Genomic DNA, 18,131 nt, shown 5'->3' on the forward strand with positions numbered 1-18,131 from the left:
CTGGAGGCAAACACGCATGTCCACTTCCAACAATCTACCAGCAACACTCGTGCCCATGTGCCTGGATTACCAGCTTCGCACAGAGCCAGACGCTGCAGCAGTAACGGGGCGCCGGGCCCACCTGCTGCCCCTCTCCTGTGCATAGGGCGCTCTCTCCCTGCCCCGAGCTTCGGCTTCTCCTCCATGCACGGTCACTGCTGGAGGCACACTGGACCCAGTGCCAGCTCGGGAAATCCTGGGCCGGTGACAGCCCTGACCCGTGGCCACCATCCACTCAACATCATTGAGCCCTCCCACAGGCACCCAAGCTCTCTGAGGACAGCCGTCCTAGCTTCCTTCGTGGGAGAAAACTCTGGCCCTCCACTGCCGGCCAGGGAGGCCTCGCGTGCCAAGCTGGCCCTGAGCTCAGCCCAGGATTTGTGCCATTCAGGACGTGGCGGCCGTGTGCACCCCATCGGGCACCGCGTCGCCTCCCTCGGAATGTATTCCAGCACTGTCTGCCATGATGCCAACAGCAACACTTCTCAACACCAAGCCTTTAAATGTCCAGCAGCTCCACAGCCCGAGTCAGAGTGGCCCAGCCTCCCCTGGACCTGATGCGGGGCTTCAGGAAGTGGCAGGGCAGGAGGTAGAACCGGAAGCCTCACGCTACACCAGGCACTGCTCCTGGAGCACAGTGGGTATCCCATCACAACGCGGGAGGATTCAGGGCCAACTGCAGGCCCCCGGAGACGAGGTTAGACGGTGGCAGGCAGGCTAAGAACAGGCGATCCGGCAGGCACAAGAAGGAACATACTGATGATAAGGAAACGCCGGGTGGGGTCTTTACGTAGGCAGCCTCCTTGGCATCGGGCAGGTCTGTCTCACCAGTCCCAAATAATGAATCATGTCCACTGCACTAGAATGCAGTCTTTTAACCACTATCAACATACGCCAAGGAATGCTTCCACTAACAAATGGGAAGAATGCCCAGAAAACACCGCACTGCATTTCTGGACCAGGACTCGTTCTGTTGGAATGTGCCTACCAAACACAGCAAGGGGCGACACTCACCCGAAGGTTGAAACATGCGGAACTCCGATGACTCCTAGTGCTGTTAGCAATCATAAATCCTCATCCTGGCACAGAGCACAGGAGGCACCTCTGCCTGCACTCACCGTCCAGGGCCCTCCTCCGTCTCTGCGATGCCACCCTCATTTCACAGACGAGGACGCTGAGGGTCAAAGCTGTGAGCCACATCCCTCGACAAGGCTGTGAGCCCATTCCCTGTCTTCCTGCCTCCCTGTTACCACCTTCCAGGCCCCCGCTCTCTGGTGCCTGGAATGAGCATTCTGGAGTTGTCAGAACATTCCTTGACCTTCCAATAAAAGGGGTACAATCTAAATACAAAGTAACATCCGGGGCTACAAAAGCGACCACTGTGGCCATCACCTATGAACCTCTAAGACCCCAAATCAACACAAAGCAAGAGGCCACACCATCCTGAGCAGCTGGCAAGTCGGCCACTGACCAGTAAAAAAACTGGGAGGAAGGTGGCTGATCGATCCTGTTTTCCTCCCTTTTTCAACGAGCCCAGTTGCTCATGAAAGACAAGTAGACAGCTCTACTCTGCTTCTGTTCAGGGCTAGAGAGGTTCTGGAATTGTGCAAGTCATGTCAGAGCACACCCCGAGAGAGAGATCACTTGCAAAAAGCTACAGTGAAAATAAGAATCAAAACTCCCAAACCGGAGAAGCCATGCCACATGATCGCCTCGCTTGTTCATGGCGGGTAATTACTTAACCCTTTGTTTTTCCAGAAGTAATAGAAGGGCCTTTTTAAACAACATACTGCCCGCCACGGTGGCTCACGCCTGTAATCCCAGGACTTTAGGAACCCGAGGCAAGTGGATCAATTGAGGTCAGGGAGACCAGCCTGGCCAACACGGTGAAACCTCATCTCTACTAAAACTACAAAAAAAAATTAGCCGGGCGTGGTGGCGCATGCCTGTAATCCCAGCTACTTGGGAGGCTGAGGCAGGACAATCGCTTGAACCCGGGAGCCGGAGGTTGCAGTGAGCTGAGATCATGCCACTGCACTCCAACCTGGGCGACAGAGCCTGACTCCATCTCAAAAAATAAATAAATAAATAAAAATAACAACATACTGAACGGGGCTGACTTATCTGCCTAAACCAAGCTCCTCCTGGACACTCCGTCATCACTGCACACTGACCATGTAATGGTGAGGCCAGTGTCTCGTCTAACAGAACACCGATCACCATGGCCGCAACAGGCACTGTGAAAAACATGTTGGCTTCCTCCGAGCCCTGTGGCACATGCCACTTCCCCACCCTCTGCTGCCTCCCTGACCAAGAGGGCCCAGGGGACCAGCGTCTCCACACACCTGGGACCAACCTGTTGGGCTACACCACTTGAGAAGCCCTGGATCACCCTATTTAATGTGGCCTTTAGAGGAAATTTGGGGGTGGAAGGAGTCATTTGTCACCTATAACTTCTGCAATTGTCAGAAATTCATTTATAGGACACAAACGTTTTGCAATCTTGCCATCCAAACGTAAAATCAGAAAACATACATCGGGTGCTTAAAATGGGCGCCTGGCACACAGTGGGCGCTTGACAAATTCAAGATCCCTTCCTCTTCAGGTCTCCATCCAAGATTCAGCAGTACCGAAAATATGCAGGGACCGCACGGGAACCAGCTTGAGGCTTGTCGCCAACAGGCGAGGGGCCCAGGTCTCATCAGATGGTCAACAGGTATCCCCCGAGTGCCCGCCATGGGCCGGACCAGCTAGCAGGCGAGAAACCCTGGGCAGCCTCACCTGGATGGGAAGGGTGCGGCGTCCAGCCCTGCAGGCGTGTGGTATGTGGGGAAACCGCTCCGCCCTCCTCCTGTGACTCTGTGGGGATGATCTTGCCCAAGCCCGGATATCAAGCGTGCGGGCCCTGGCTCCCACCCTTCCCACATCCGGTTACCTTTTAAATTAATATGACATTTTGTATATTCTTCCAGCATCTACCTTTTTTTCAAAGTGTTTCTGCCACAGAAGCGTGTTTCCAGCCTCCGCCGATGAGCGCTGGTGACCATGCCCACGGGACACACTTCCACGCCAGAGGCCACCCCATCACAGTGGGGAGCGGGCAGGACTTGCACCAGCAGCTCCAGATTTGCAAAACTCAGAGACGGCTTTGTAGGAATCCCAAGAAAACCACTTCACTACTTTAATCAAATGATGACCCAATCGATTACTGAAGAACAACACAAGACAGTTCACACCACATCTTCCTGTTCCCACAAGGGACCTACAGTCCAACACAGGCACTCCTCCAACGCCCCTTTAGTTTAGAAACATCGCCGTCAGGGCAGGTCTCAGCAGAGAGATTAGCGGTCCACCTCATTAAAGACCTGCCTGGTAACAACCGAAACCTGCCCCCGTGCGGACGCAGATGAAGCCTGCACCACACAATTCCATCACTGCGTTAGGCAGCTCTGCTCCGGCACCTCCCAGAAGAGAAGAGAGCTGTCTGCCCAAAAACATCGCCCAACTGTAATAAGCTGTGCAAACTTGGGCAAGAAAAGAAAGTGGGTCTTACTCATATGCAAGCTAATATCCTCGAGCCAATAGTTTTCCAGATCATAAAAAGGAATGGACCCCCCACCCCAGGAGCACCAAGTTCTACGATCAGCTTACACTGGCTGTTTTTCAGCAGAAAACCTCATTCACACTGTGATCCCTATGTCCTCATCAAAGTAGCCCACAGAGGCGGCTTCCCAGTTATGTGCTCTGGTTTAATTATTTTTCTTCTATTTACCATCATTTTACATTTTTCTAGCTATGCCAAGAAAAGCGACCCTACACCATAAAGTAATAACTGTTGTTTTAAGCTTGATTGAAATTCCAGGTTTGTGAAACAGAAGTCAGACGGATTGACAGGAAGGTGATCCAACTGCACCTACCTGGGCTTTCCTGGGAATGTGGAAATGCAATGACAACGCTCCCAGTTGGATGCTGGTACTCTCAGCTAAAAGTGTTCAGAGAAGGACCGAACTCCACTCGGCCTCTCTCAGATTCTGAAATGAGGAAAAGTTTAGTATTCATCTAATTATGTTTTTAAGAACCATTTGCCACTGCTTCTCTTTAAGAAAAATTAAAACAATGCCCAAGGACGTTTTGGGGCTACCGTAGGTATTTTCAGAATGAATTAAATCACCCCAAGTGGGGCTGCTGGGAAAATCCCACACAGTGTGGTTTCTAATAGGACTTCCCACATCTGTGAGGGGCAGCCAGGAGCAGGAGAAGCATTCAACAGTCACAGCACAAACGCAGCAGCGAAGGTAACCAGGACGCCGCCTAACTGTAGCAGCGGAACAATCTGCATTTAGTTGTCAATCCAGCCTATCAAAATGTCACCAGGGAACACCTGCTATGCATATGCCCTGAGCTCCTGGCATGGACTGCGCTTGGTGTGCGCATCACACTGCCGACCGCCAGAAATGCCAGGCCCCTGGGTGGCTCTCGCTCTTCTTGGGGATGGGTCTGTGGGGCGCCACCTACTCACCTCCTCCGCAGCATCTGCGTTTACAAAACACACTAGGGTACTAGGGAGCCAGTCTGTGACCGCAACGCAGACGTGCCCACTGAAATCGGTGTCCCACTTATACCTGGGACCACGGAATCCCCAGATGTTTCAGGGTGTGGCACAGCTCTCACTAGACTTGAAAGTCATTCCAAAGCGATTTGACAGCAAGCTTTAAAACAGACACTAGCAAAGTATTCATAATAAACTATTCCCACTGCCTGAGCAATAAGCAGTGCTCGAAAGCTTATGTTCTCAGTCCTGAACTACACACACTTTTCAAAAGGAAAAAAGACAGAAGAAGATCCACCGAAACAAGATCTCCCCATCACTTCCCGTTCTTTACGGCACCACGCCATGTTTCTCCATCTACAGTCTCAGAAGTGGGACTCAAGGCCGGGCGCGGGTGCTCACACCTGTCATCCCGGCACTTTGGGAGGCTGAGGTGGGTGGATCACTTGAGGTCAGGAGTTCAAGACCAGCCTGGCCAACATGGTAAAACCCCGTCTGTACTAAAAATACAAAAAAAAATTTTAGTACTTTAAAAATTTTTAATGTACTAAAGGTACATTAAAAACGTGGCACGTGGTGGCGTGTGCCTGTAGTCCCAGTCACTCGGGAGGCTGAGGTAGAAGAATCGCTTGAACCCAGGAGGTGCAGGTTGCAGTGAGTCGAGATCATACCACTGCACTCCAGGCTGGGCGACAGAGTGAGACTCAGTCTCAAAAACAGAAAGTGGGACTCACACATAGCTTGGCATGACTGGGGCCTTTGCTGTCTCAAGCTGGCATTCAGAAATCTCAGAACCATCACTGGGAAACCCCAAGAGTCATGGAGACAAAGGTGCAGAGCCCCCAGACCTATGTGGAAAGGCAGGGTGATGCGCAGTGATAGGGGACAGTGGCTCCTGGACTTGCAGGGCCTCCCTGGCACCCCCAGCCTGGCCATTTCAGATGGGGACAGTGGCCTCCTGGACTTGCAGGGCCTCTCTGGCACCCCCAGCCTTGTCATTTCAGACGGGGACAGTGGCCTCCTGGACTTGCAAGGCCTCCCTGGCACCCCCAGCCTGGCCATTTCAGATGGGGACAGTGGCCTCCTGGACTTGCAGGGCCTCTCTGGCACCCCAGCCTGGCCATCTCACTTATGGAAAGGTTAAAAAGTCTCCTTTTTTTCATGATTTAGTCAAGGCATCTTTTGAAGGGTGGGGGATGTATCATGGGAGCCTTACGCAGTTGGAGGAGCCCAAGTGGGAATGGATGCTAGAGCCCCAGTATCTTTAGTGATGCGGAGAAACTACTGGAATGCGACCCCAGGGATACAGCCGTGCATCCGATGAGGGCAGCTGCACCCTCCTCACCTTCAGGCAACCTCGAGGGGAGCCGCCAGAGGAGAGAGGCTCCAGAGGTGCCAGGGCCCAGGGCTCGCCACGCAGCTCAAGGCTGGCATGCATCGTACACCAAAATGGCGTGGTCATCCACACTATCTGCTGGACATCGTGTCTTCAACATGTGTCAGTTTTTTAAACTAAGCACAAGCTATTTTCTGGCTTAGTTTCCCCTCTTCGACAGGCCACAGGGGTTGAGACCAAGGTTTCGGGTTATGCACATCCAGAGATGCTTTCCTGCCCCTGGACACCAGCTTCAGATTTGGCAGTTACAGGTGGAACAGGGCAGAAGAAACAGAAAAGATCTTACTCTTCGACAGCAGAAGAGGAGAGATTCTCTAGTCAAGGAAACTCAAAGGAGAAAGAGGCCTTTTTAAAAATCTATTTCCTTTGGGCCAAGGGGGCCAATCTGTGTCTGAGAAAGGCTGACCCTGCGGCGTCCTTGGACAGCACACGGGAGAAATGCTCCAGGATGGAGGGACAGACAGGGAAGAAACTTTATACCTTTACTTTCAGATGTATTAACCAGTAACAGACAAAGGCAGGGCTGGAAAGAGGCGAAAATACGAGTAAATGTTTACAAGACCAACCCCTGATGTGCTGCGATGAGAAGGGCCTCTCCCTGCGGGAGAAGGTTATCTTCCTCCCGGGAACGATAACCCTGGGCTAAACCAATCAGAAAACACGCAAGAACCCAAACTGAGGGCACAGAAGTCCCTGCACCAGGACGTCACCAGGACCTGGAGCTTATGGGTTCCACAAAACACCCGGCCAGTCCTCCTCAGAAGTGTGATGGTCACGAAAACAGAGATGGACCAAGGAGCCATCAGGGACCAGCAGGGACTTGGGAGAAGGACCCGAGCGCAGCACAGGCTCCCAGATGGGCTCCTGGGACAGCAAAGGCGAAATCCCAGGAACAGCTAGACTGCGCCCAAACCCTTCTGTTCAACACACTTCCCAGTTCAAACTTCTGCTGGGCAAAGACACACCATTTTCAATTTAAAGAGGCCCCAAGCAGTCCTCTCGATGCATTTTCTGATGATCAACTGTTTCTTCCCCCTACTTCTAATGTCCCTGGGTGACGGTCTAAGCCATACTGGAAACCATCACGTTCCCTTAGGAGTGACGTTAATTCAGGCTCCGGGAGAGATTTGATTTACGACACTAATTACTGGGTTTACTCCTAGGGTGCTTCTCACAGACGGACTCCATCCCACCCGGGCGGCCACCTCGCTCTCCACTGCTCCAGGCAGGCAGGGGCACAGGGAGGGCTCTTGCAACAGAGACTCCGTTCCCTTGGGAGTCTCAGGACCTCCTGCCCCTTGAGAACAGCATTCAGGTCTCTCTGTCAGTTCCCCACTCCCATAATGGTGCACCCATGCTGCCACGTGGACGGGATGCTGGCACGGAGGCCGACGCTCTGCACGCTCACCAGGCTACCAGCATCTGTGAGGCCCACAAGGACCAAGCCAGGTGGGATGGCGGGGACACCAAAGAGGCTACTTGGCTGGCACGGCCGGACCCAAGTGCTCTATGCAGGTGCCGGGGCCGCGCATCTCCAGGAGATCTAGTCAAGGAGAAAGGCACTCTGTGGACAGGCTCTCTAGACAGCGTGGCACACAGGACGCAGTGGTGCCTGCCTGCCAAGCCTGGGATGGGTGTGAGGCAAGACACCCAGTGGGGACACGTGCCTACAGTGGGGGCTGGAAAAGTAGAGAAGGGACCCTGGACATGCACAGGGGCCACGAGGGCCATCCCTGCTGGGACACGCACAGCTGATGCAACAGGAGACAGGATGACACAGAAGTCCCTCCACCAGGGTATCACCAGGACCTGGAGTCTATGGTGGTGATGCCACGGGCGGTGAACGTGGGGAGCAAACATGGGAAGGGATGCCCTGGGGCAGGACCCTGGTTCTGCAGCCTCACAGGGAAGGACCACCCAGAGGTGCAGGCAAAGGGCCCTGGGAGGCAGGGGGGCCCCAGAGAGGCAAAACCCAGGAGACGCTGGCCTCTGGGAAGTAAAATCAGGCAGAGGCAGCCGTGGCCTCGCTGAACCTGCAGCTGACAGCCCCTCTGGGCTGGCAGGAAGTCCTGCGTGTCTCTCGGAACCTGCAGCTCACAGCCCTTCTGGGTTGGCAGGAAGTCCTGCGTGTCTCTCGGAACCTGCAGCTCACAGCCCCTCTGGGCTGGCAGGAAGTCCTGCGTGTCTCTCGGAACCTGCAGCTGACAGCCCCTCTGGGTTGGCAGGAAGTCCTGCGTGTCTCTCGGAACCTGCAGCTGACAGCCCCTCTGGGTTGGCAGGAAGTCCTGCGTGTCTCTCGGAACCTGCAGCTCACAGCCCCTCTGGGCTGGCAGGAAGTCCTGCGTGTCTCTTGTCCCAGAGAGGAAATGATTTGGGCAAACGCTCTGCCCTGAGATCTCTCTCGCCCTAACTAGATATTAAGCACACCTCGGGGGCAGTGCTGGAATTACAGCATCCACAGGTGCTGGGCTTTCCTGGAGGCTGCAAGTAAGTGCTCAGTCAAGGAGGGGACAAGGCTTCGGAGGCTGGTGGTGGGGAGGTCCAAACCAGAGGGGAGTCCCTGCTGCTCCTTCCTAACTGGGATCTTGAGAAAGACAACAGCCCCAGCCCACTCAAAGGCTACACCTCAAAAACATGTTGCAATCTACATGGGCTGCCTCATTTTCAAAGCAGAAGTTTAGCAATTTCCTGCATTTGCAGGCATGTTCAAACTGTAAGCCCGTTCGATTCCTGAGTTATTTTTACCAAATAAATTCAAGTCCAGTTATCGAATAACTACATGCATCCCATCCCGCTCAGGGCAGCTACATATAAGTAATAAACGAAGGACAGAAATGAGTGCTTCAACTATCTGCTGACTGCTAACTCCCACTGTCATCCCAGGCAGCCTTGCAAGCAAAGAGTAGCTGCGGCGCATTCCAGACCTCCCTACGGACAGCACGCGACGGACGGCCTTGCGGGACTCCCTGCAGCAGCCAACACACCCCAGCCAGCCCGTGCCTATTCTGTGAACTGACCACTTCAGGCCACTCAAGGCATCCCAGGAGATTCTCTGGCTCTGATGGATCAAAAAGGTTCAGAAATAGAGAACTTCTGCTCTCTATGTATACAGAAATGTGTTTTTTATGTTTATCTGAAATTAGAGATATCAAAATTAGGATTGGCAGTGTCCTACAATACTTGTGATTTGGAGCAGCCCCGTGCTCTTTTAGTAAGAAAAACAATCACACTCGCTCTCTGGACAATTTAAAGTCCAAGCTTGTCCAACCCGCGGCAGCCCAACACAAATTCATAACCTTTCTTAAACATTATGAGGTTTTTTGCTGTTTTTTGTTTTTTGTTTTAGGCTCATCATTAGTGTCTTTTTTTTTTTTTTTTTTTGAGACAGGGTCTCACTGTCGCCCAGGCTGGAGTGCAGTGGTGCAACCTTGGCTCACTGCAACCTCGGCCTTCCGGGCTCAAGCGATCCTCCCACCTTGGCCTCCCTAGTAGCTGGGACTACAGGTGTGCACCACCACACTCAGCTAATTTTTTTTCTATTTTTTGTAGAGACGAGGTTTCGCCATGTCAGCCAGGCTGGTCTCAAACTCCTGAGCTCAAGTGATCTACCCACCTCGGCCTCCCAAAGTGTTGTGATTACAGGTATGAGCCAACGCGCCCGGCCGTGTTAGCATCTTTTATGTGTAGTCCAAGACAGTTCCTCTTCTTCCAATGTGGCCGAGGGAAGCCAAAAAATTGACACCCCTGAAAACTGTCACTTGAGAAGAGTAACTTAAAATGCTGAGCCATCTTCCCCATCAGTTCCTTGTTTAGTCCTCAAAGAGTGTTTGTTGCCAGGACTTTATTTATCACTCCATTGTATATTATATGTCCTTCAACAATGGAAGGTCCTGAACCACTAAACCACACTGCTACAAAGAAGCACTTGGGGAGAGCCTCCAGGTCTGAAGAGTTCTAATGTCTCCAACTTCCCAGCCCGATTTTAAAGGCATTTAATGTTCATTCTTGAATAGTTTTGGATTTTGTAATGAAGTCATGATGTTTCTACATGTTTAGCTCTGTACGCCTGAATATAAATAACCGAGGTAGTCAAATCAGGGTGTGCGAATGTTCCCTTTACTGGAAGAAAGTTTTTGCCTTCTCCCAGCAAAATATAAAATTAGTCAACTGTGCAGTGTGGTGAAATCACCAGTCCAAAATTACACCCCAAACATATGATTATTAAGGATTTGCAGTCCTATTTTTTATATTACTAAAAAAGCCACACTCATTATATCTTTATATTTAGAGGGCTTTTTAAAAATAAGTTTTAATAAATATCTCTGAATGTATACATTCCACAAAATGGACAGTTAAAAGAAGGCACTCATGATTTTAGGTTACATATTTTCCTTTCTACATTGAAATAACCAAAGACCTAATAATAGTTTCCACTACTGCATTCAAGATAAAAGAGCTTTCTTTCAGTGTAAGAAGAAATTAAAAATTACCGGGTTGGGATAAGGGAGGAGACTCACTTTTTAGATTAAAGAAAGTATGGTAACTTTAGTCTTCTGACCAAAAAGTTTAATATTTTTAAAAATATAATTTAATGTTGGGATTAAATCAAAACTTCATTTTCTATTTTTATCTTCTTCCGTTAGAAAGTCCTGGAATCTGAAAGGTTAAACCACTGTACTCAGAAAAGCAGACAGAGCTGCCTCATGTGTCTTTCAACTAATATTCATTAATTATAAAAAACCAATACAGGCACTGAACTGTACACTTAAAAAATAGCTAAAATGGTAAACTTTATGTTACATATATTTTATCACAATAAAAAACACAAAACAAAAAGTATAGGTTTTAAATGCTCAAAATCATTTGAAATGCTTTAAAATTGTACTCAGGAAATCATTACAAAATACAAATGAGATAATATTTATAAGGCATTGTTAAGTAAATAATCTACTGTTAAAACTGCATGAAATATGTTCATCTTTAAATGGTATTATCCCAAATAAGGATGTCAGAGGTCATCACCAGAATCCATAAACTGTTTAAAAACAAAACAAACCAAAACACATTTTTCTAGATGAGAGAGCCAGTTTTCACGTTCTCAGATTTGGAACCGCCCATTGGTGGATTACCCGGCTTTGACAATTCACGTTAACTGCTGAGTTATCTGAGCCAACCAATGTGCAGTTTCCCTTTGCTTGGCGTTTTCCCCCCAACTTTTAACTTAGATCTGGAACAAATCACAAGTGGTCAGGATACAATTCTAATTCATATATATATAGAAAAGTTCCATGAAGGGAACATTTCTACCCAACACAAGTATGCTTTAACAGAGCTACTCTTTCTGCACTAACTGCTTAAGAAATTCCAAGCTGAAGTGATCTTACATGCAACATTTAGCGGACACTGCACTGTTCTGATCCAAGGAGCCCTTATATCAATGAGCTTTGGAATGGTCTGCTTCTTCCTGACTGGAAATTCCATACGAACCCTCTTCTGTGCTCTCTGGTTTATTCTGAGAATTTTACTCCATTTGATTTTTGTTACAAACATTTAACGACCACCCTTGGCCAAAAGCACTGAAGTTCTACCCTAATTCATTAAGGACTTCTTATCTATGATTTTCTATAAATCCCTACATACTGTAAGGCTTGCCCTGCACTTAAAAACAGTGCCACAAGGCTGGGCGCGGTGGCTACCGCCTGTAATCCCAGCACTTTGGGAGGTCGAGGCGGGCGGATCACCAGGTCAGGAGATCAAGACCATCCTGGCTAACACAGGGAAACCCCGTCTCTACTAAAAAATGCAACAAAAGTTAGCCTGGCATGGTGGCAGGCGCCCGTAGTCCCAGCTACTCGGGAGCCTGAGAAAAAGAAAAAAGAAAAACAGTTCCACAAAAACCTGATTTTTTAAATTTCTTTTCTATTCCTTTCTCCTTCCTAGGCAGTTTTCTTTCTTCAAAGATATTTTTGTAAGTGGATTAATTTTTTAAAAACACCTTTCAGATACTTTCTTTTACCTACATCAAAAATATGATTTACAGTATTCCTCACCAATCTGTTGGGCAGAAGAAACAAGAAACACAGATAAAGATGGTATTATGAAAAACTTGTCAGGAATAATTCTAAAAGTATGCATATCTGGCATATCCGTTCAGATGATTACCATACTTACTGAGCAAACCCTCCACATCCTCCACACGGAAAAAAAAAAAAAGACATATTATTTCAGGGACTTTTCTGCCTTACTTTCTTCCCGAAAAAGGTGACAGAATGGATTGCTGCAGCTCTTGAATCACCTCTAACACCTGGCAAGAGAGGGCAGCGACCCCAGACACGGACTGATTCCTGGGCCAACTCTCATTTCTCTGGTCAGACATGTGGCCTTAGATGGGTCATTCTCTTCTTTGGCCCTCGTTTTTCCCATCTGTGAAATGTGTCATTTGTAATGGACAAATTGGGAGGCCTTTTCCAGTTCAGAAGTTCTCTGACCTGCGGTGGGCCCATGTGAACAGCATTTCTGGTGTCCAGAGGCCACCACTGGTGGAAACACTCCACACACGACAGCTGGGCCTCAGCCAGGCACCAGTCGGGGCCTCACTAGATCCCGTCACGCTAGATCCTGTCACATCGCTGAACGGGAGATCCCAGAATTGGAGCCGACTTCCCCCAGGAGCCGGGTCCAGCATGCAGTCATGCTGCCAGTCCGTGGAGGCTAAACACCCTAAGATCCCTATCTTACTGCAGGTGTCCCCAAGACACCCACAGCAGATGGAAGCTGTTCTGGGACTCCGGCCCCACCCAAACTGTCTACCCTGGATGTCTCATTCCAGGACATCACGCCCACTAGGACTGTGTCCCTGCAGGGTCCTACCCAGGATACAACAGCTGCCCTGCACCCTCCCTCCCTCTCAACGCATCCAGTGGATGGACCAAGTCTTACAGACTCTAGACCTTCCAGCATGAACCAAGTCAGAATCACGGCACTCTGCTCCAGTTTCTCAGTCACAAATCTAGCCCAGAGCTCCATCCTCTTCCTGTTCTGAACCATCAAACCATCTTCCCTTCAGAAACCTCCTGCCGGTCCCTTGGTCAGCGTCCCTGGCCTGTGACGCTTCCTCCCTGCTGCAGATTGGCTGAGGGACCCTCCACAACATCTCTTCCCATTGCCCTTGGGACGGAGTCCATATTCCTCAAGACAATTCACAGTCAAGATGATGTGGTCTTTAACGGCTTCTCAAACATCAGCTCTTGGCTACCACCCAGACACCCCTGCCATCCCTGACAGGCATGTGCACAGACACTTGCACATGTGTGTGTGCATTTGCATAGGCTCACTACACGGGCACACTTGCAAACGTGCACCTATACACAGGCGCACTTACACGTGTGTATATTCACATATGCATGTATGTGTGTATATACACGTACACTCAGGCACACTTACACACATATGCACTTGCGACACGTGCGCTCACACGCATGAACACACAGGTGTATGCACCTCTGGCTTCAGCAATATGAAATTTCCTTAGCTCTCCTGGGCTCTGACCCACTTTTCTGCTGCTTGGATTCTCACCTAGCTCAGGCTAGCTCCTCCATAAGGACGAGTGTCCTCACCAGAGTCCTTTAAGAGCAACCTGGAAAGGTCATCCGGTCAAACAGGATGGCTCCAAATGAAGGCCTCACAGGCAGAAAAAGCAATAATAAAATCCGGCAATGATCACTAAATCCAGTAAGCAAGGAAATAAATATAAATAGAATTACATCCAAATAACTGTGATCTACACATAAAATAAACATGCGATCCTTACCTGTCTTGAAATAAAAACTATGTCATGTAAAAATTAAAAATTAACACTAATAGACTAAAAAACAACAGCCAAAAAAGGAATGACAATAGCAATGTGGGGAGAGGGAGGAGATGGGGAAAGAAGAGGAAGGTAATAGAAGTGTTCTAACTTCTTTCCCAAAGGGGAAGTCAAATTGTATTACTACTGATGTTGATACATTAATACAGCTTTAAGAAAACATTATAAATACCGCCACTAGTGGAAGCAAAAGCATTATATGCTTTCTATATGCTTTCTGATTTTAATAATTAAAGGACAAGAAATATAATTCATATTCCAATAAAGAGAAAAGAAGAAAAAGCGAGGAAGCACAAAAGTTTTTTTTTTCTTTAATTAGGAAAGAAGACCAAGTAAGTCAGTTTCAGAAATAAATATTAATGGAATAAACTCACTTATTTAAAAAAAGACTCCATGATAGGGTTAAAAATTAAATTGACTATTTGCTCTCTGCAAAAAAAAAAAAAAAAAAAAAAAACACCTATGACTGAGGAACTCGGAAAAGCTGGACACGTAGAGAAAAATATATCAGAAAAGTACAAACAAAAGCAACATGGAAAAAATATACCATTAAAAGTTTAATGTGTGGTCAAAAAAGGCAATTAAACAAAAGTAGTTGGCTGGGTGCGGTGGCTCACGCCTGTAATCACAGCACTTTGGGAGGCCAAGGTGGGCGGATCACGAGGTCAGGAGATGGAGACCATCCTAGCTAACACGGTGAAACCCTGTCTCTACTAAAAATACAAAAAATTATCCAGGCTTGGTGGTGGGCGCCTGTAGTCCCAGCTACTTGGGAAGCTGAGGCAAGAGGACGGCGTGAACCCAGGAGGCGGAGCTTGCAGTGAGCTGAGATTGCACCACTGCACTCCAGCCTGAGCAACAGGGTGAGACTCCATCTCCAAAAAAAAAAAAAAGTAGCTATCTTATAATCATAAAGGGTAAAGTAGAACTCACAAAGAAGATGTAATTGTCCTAACACTGGGTTGTTGGTTGTTTTTGTGTGGGGGGGGGGGGGGCTTTCTTTTTGAGACAGGGTCTTACTCTGTGTTGCCCAGGCTGGCCTCAAACTCCTGGGCTCAAGCAATCCTCCTGCCTCAGCCTCCCAAGAAGTGGGATTACAGGAAAGCACCCCTCCCCCAGCTGTAGTTATATTACACTTTTAAGTCAAATAACACAGAATAACACAAACACAGAATAAAATGCATTTAGAAACAGCTACAGTGAATACCTGAAAAGACAAACAGAGAAAAATGATCTGGAAGAATTGGCAAATCTCTCGTAAGCATGGCAGATTAAGTAAGCAAAAGTAGTAAGAAACAGACAGCTTGAAAAATAAAGTAAGGCTTATCTAATATATGAGTATCACACTCCACAATTTGCTATTTTGCTAAATTGGCAATAGAACATCAAATGCCTCCATATTAACCACAAGGAAGGCTCTAAAAGTTCCATAAATTCAAAACAGTACAGGTCCCAGGAGCTCCATAATACAGTACCATGACACTAAAAATTAACAAGCAAAAACAAAAACAACACTCATAGAAGTTCAGCCATTTGGAAAATTCTAAACTCTCTGTAACAACTCCTGAAACAAAGAAGAAATCAAAGTGAAACTGCAAACTCTCTTCAAAGTACCAGTGTCAAAATTTATGGTACACAAGAAAGCTAAAATAAAATTCAATTACTTGCTACAATAATTAAAAATATTCAATTCAACCAGTAACAAAAATATAATAAAACCCTTAAATTTGAATTTTAAAGAGTAACAATAAATAAGAAAAACTACAGTAAAACTGATACACAAAATCAGTAATTGGCTCTATGATAACCCCAATGAATGAGATAAATAACTAGCTGGCCTAATCAAGAAGAAAAAAGAGGTTGGGAGGAATTAGGTCTAATAACCACAGACAGAAGGAAAATTTTAAAAAATCATACAATGTTTTTCAAACTCTAGGTTAATACACTTGTTAATATGGATGAAAAATATAATTTTCTAATAAAATCTAACTGTCCAAAATTCACTCAGGGACAAAAAAAGTAAACAGACCAATATTTAAGCAAGAAACCAGAGCTCTCTCCTCCACCTACCCAAATGTGAGAGATGAGTCAAGTCCACACCTGAAATCTTTCACACATTTTAAGAAACAACTCATATATAGGCTACCTGAATGTTTCTGTATCTGGAAAACATATGTGACGGAAGATACAAAACAAGTTACCCAAAGAGATATTTGTAACTCATCAGCAAAAGACTATTATCCCCAATAAACAAAATGTTCTTATAAATCAACAAATCATGAATAACTTCACTGGATAATGTGACGAAGTAACAGGTGATTCACAAGAGAGATAAAATGAGCAATAAACATTAAGAAATCCTCATAATCACTTACGATTTTTAAATGCAATGGTATTTTCCTCTATTAAGTTGGCCAAGACTTAAACGACTGATAATATCAAGCACTGACAAAGAGAAAGCACTGAGTTTTGCAGGGAACGTAAAATGGTACTTTATCTTTGTTGGTAAATTTGGCAGTATCTGTCAATTAAAATGCCCCTCCATCCCCAAAATTCCACCTCGGGGAACTTATCCTAGAGAAATATTCCCACAAGTGCACAAACTCGTATATTAGTAAAGTTCCCTGCACGCTAAGAGAAAGCTGATAGCAGCCCAAATGTCCAACAGGAGACAGGACAAAGAAAGGCGGCTCCACAGGGCAGCAGCCAGCTGGCACACACGGGCACCTCCTGCTGGCTGCTCACAGACCAAATCTGTGCCAGTGGGTCCATGCTCTGGCCACACTGGGCACTGGGCATCTGGAAATCACTGAGGGTGTGTACACACAACAGCACCCTACACATGCCTTAAAGCAAATACACTGAAATGTTACGCAAAATTAAAAAAAAATTAGTTGCAGAAAAACTCACAGAACATTGTACCATTTTAAATTCTTTAAAATGTATATATTTAAAGATCTTACTACATTCACCAAGCGAATGTATTTAAATGCCTAATACAGTGACTGGCATAGAGCAGGCGCTCAATAGTAGCTTCCATAAAATAAACTTACTCTCATGTTGTGAAACGTCTCACACACTTTTTCCTCAAAATGCAATTTCCTCTTTCGACTGTAAATATCTCGATGGCCAAGATGATGAAGACTTTGTCGTGTATAAACTATGCACTTTGTACTATTATCTGAAAAGAAATGGTTTAATTTGGGCAAGGAGAATGTTGCCCTAAGTATTTGGCTCTAACTAAATTACCCACACAAATTTGTGGCTGGAAAACCAAGTAATGAGTTATCTGCAGTGAGTTCCACAACCATCATCTCCTTTTATAGTATGAAAAGAAAGGTGCTAAATGTTCACACCATTTTGTGAAAAATCACCGTATATGTCTTAAAAGCAAAGTGTCTCTGTCTATCTTGATCCCCTTATACAAGATAAACAAAGAGTAAAGCCTTCAGTGCCAGTTGTCAATGTTTTATTCTGGTTCAGTAATTAAAATGGGTAGCTTCATATTAATTCCCTGGAAGAATGACATTCAGATCAATTCACTTCCCAGCAAAAAAAGTGTCCACATCCAGGAGTTGCAGGACAGGGAATAGGATTGGTCTTAGCTACTGGAATTCCTCTCATTTAAAAGTAGGACACAGTGTACATTCTAAGCTCCAACTTCAGACATCTTAAAGCATATTAAACAGTGGTCAAATGAATATGAAAGAAATTCTGCCAAGCGATTAAACGTAAGCTTGTAGTTTTGTGTCAGTTTTCCACTAACCTCCAAAACCAGTCATGGTTTGTCTAAGAAAGGGATGTTTTAATCAGAACACCTTCATTTATTGTAATACTGAGGTCCCACCTGACTAGGTGAACCGTAGGCAACTGAACAACTATAAATTTCACATGACTGGATAGAAACAGCCTAAGCTCTTGAGCCCCCCAGATGTATGCCGGTGCGGGGTGACTTGCTACGGAGGCTTAAATCACTTTCAAGAGAAGAACCCACAGATGAAATTGCACTTGTGGAGACTCAGGTGGATTTGCAAAACTCTGAAAAGAATTTTGGGCTGGTCCACTAACAAACAGTCGTCCTAAAAGTAAAGGTCTACATTTTCCCTTTATGCAGAAATATTCGTTTGCCTACATTTCCGTATGTCCAAAGCACTGTTTTTGCTGAGTCACTGGAACAGAAAAAAGATAAAACAGCACTTTTTATCCCAGCTGAGTCATATCGTTTGGACTTTGTAATTCTACTTGAATGCTAGTCGATCTTACGTTCAAAAGTCTGGTAA

General features: G+C 46.8%; 1 protein-coding gene across 14 annotated transcripts in view, besides 3 other annotated features; it reads right to left on the reverse strand.

Moving 5' to 3' along the window:
- Positions 1-18,131, reverse strand: part of ZNF516 (zinc finger protein 516) — a 138,738-nt gene that overhangs the window by 101,390 nt on the left and 19,217 nt on the right. For 2 of the 14 annotated variants that reach the window (XR_007066258.1, XM_047437957.1), the window contains exon 1: positions 1-18,131. This exon is cut by the window's right edge and continues 12,383 nt beyond it. The exons of 8 other annotated variants lie outside the window; for them this stretch is intronic. The gene's annotated coding sequence lies outside the window, so the exon portion shown is untranslated. 4 more of the 14 variants (NM_014643.4, XM_017026097.3, XM_047437950.1 and 1 more) reach the window with 3 other exon arrangements.
- Positions 434-1,031: an enhancer, noted in NCBI's record as "H3K4me1 hESC enhancer chr18:74171461-74172058 (GRCh37/hg19 assembly coordinates)". NCBI's record gives its function as "activates a minimal SCP1, AML or CMV promoter by ChIP-STARR-seq in primed H9 embryonic stem cells {active_cell/tissue: H9 hESC(primed)}" and the evidence as "EXISTENCE:reporter gene assay evidence [ECO:0000049][PMID:30033119]".
- Positions 1,032-1,629: an enhancer, noted in NCBI's record as "H3K4me1 hESC enhancer chr18:74172059-74172656 (GRCh37/hg19 assembly coordinates)". NCBI's record gives its function as "activates a minimal SCP1, AML or CMV promoter by ChIP-STARR-seq in primed H9 embryonic stem cells {active_cell/tissue: H9 hESC(primed)}" and the evidence as "EXISTENCE:reporter gene assay evidence [ECO:0000049][PMID:30033119]".
- Positions 17,776-18,131: part of an enhancer, noted in NCBI's record as "MED14-independent group 3 enhancer chr18:74188803-74190002 (GRCh37/hg19 assembly coordinates)", that runs on past the window's edge. NCBI's record gives its function as "activates an origin of replication core promoter dependent on BRD2, BRD4, P300/CBP and CDK7 cofactors, and independent of MED14, by STARR-seq in HCT116 cells {active_cell/tissue: HCT116}" and the evidence as "EXISTENCE:reporter gene assay evidence [ECO:0000049][PMID:35650434]".

This window comes from Homo sapiens, chromosome 18, assembly GCF_000001405.40.
Source record: "Homo sapiens chromosome 18, GRCh38.p14 Primary Assembly".
NCBI lineage: Eukaryota > Metazoa > Chordata > Mammalia > Primates > Hominidae > Homo > Homo sapiens.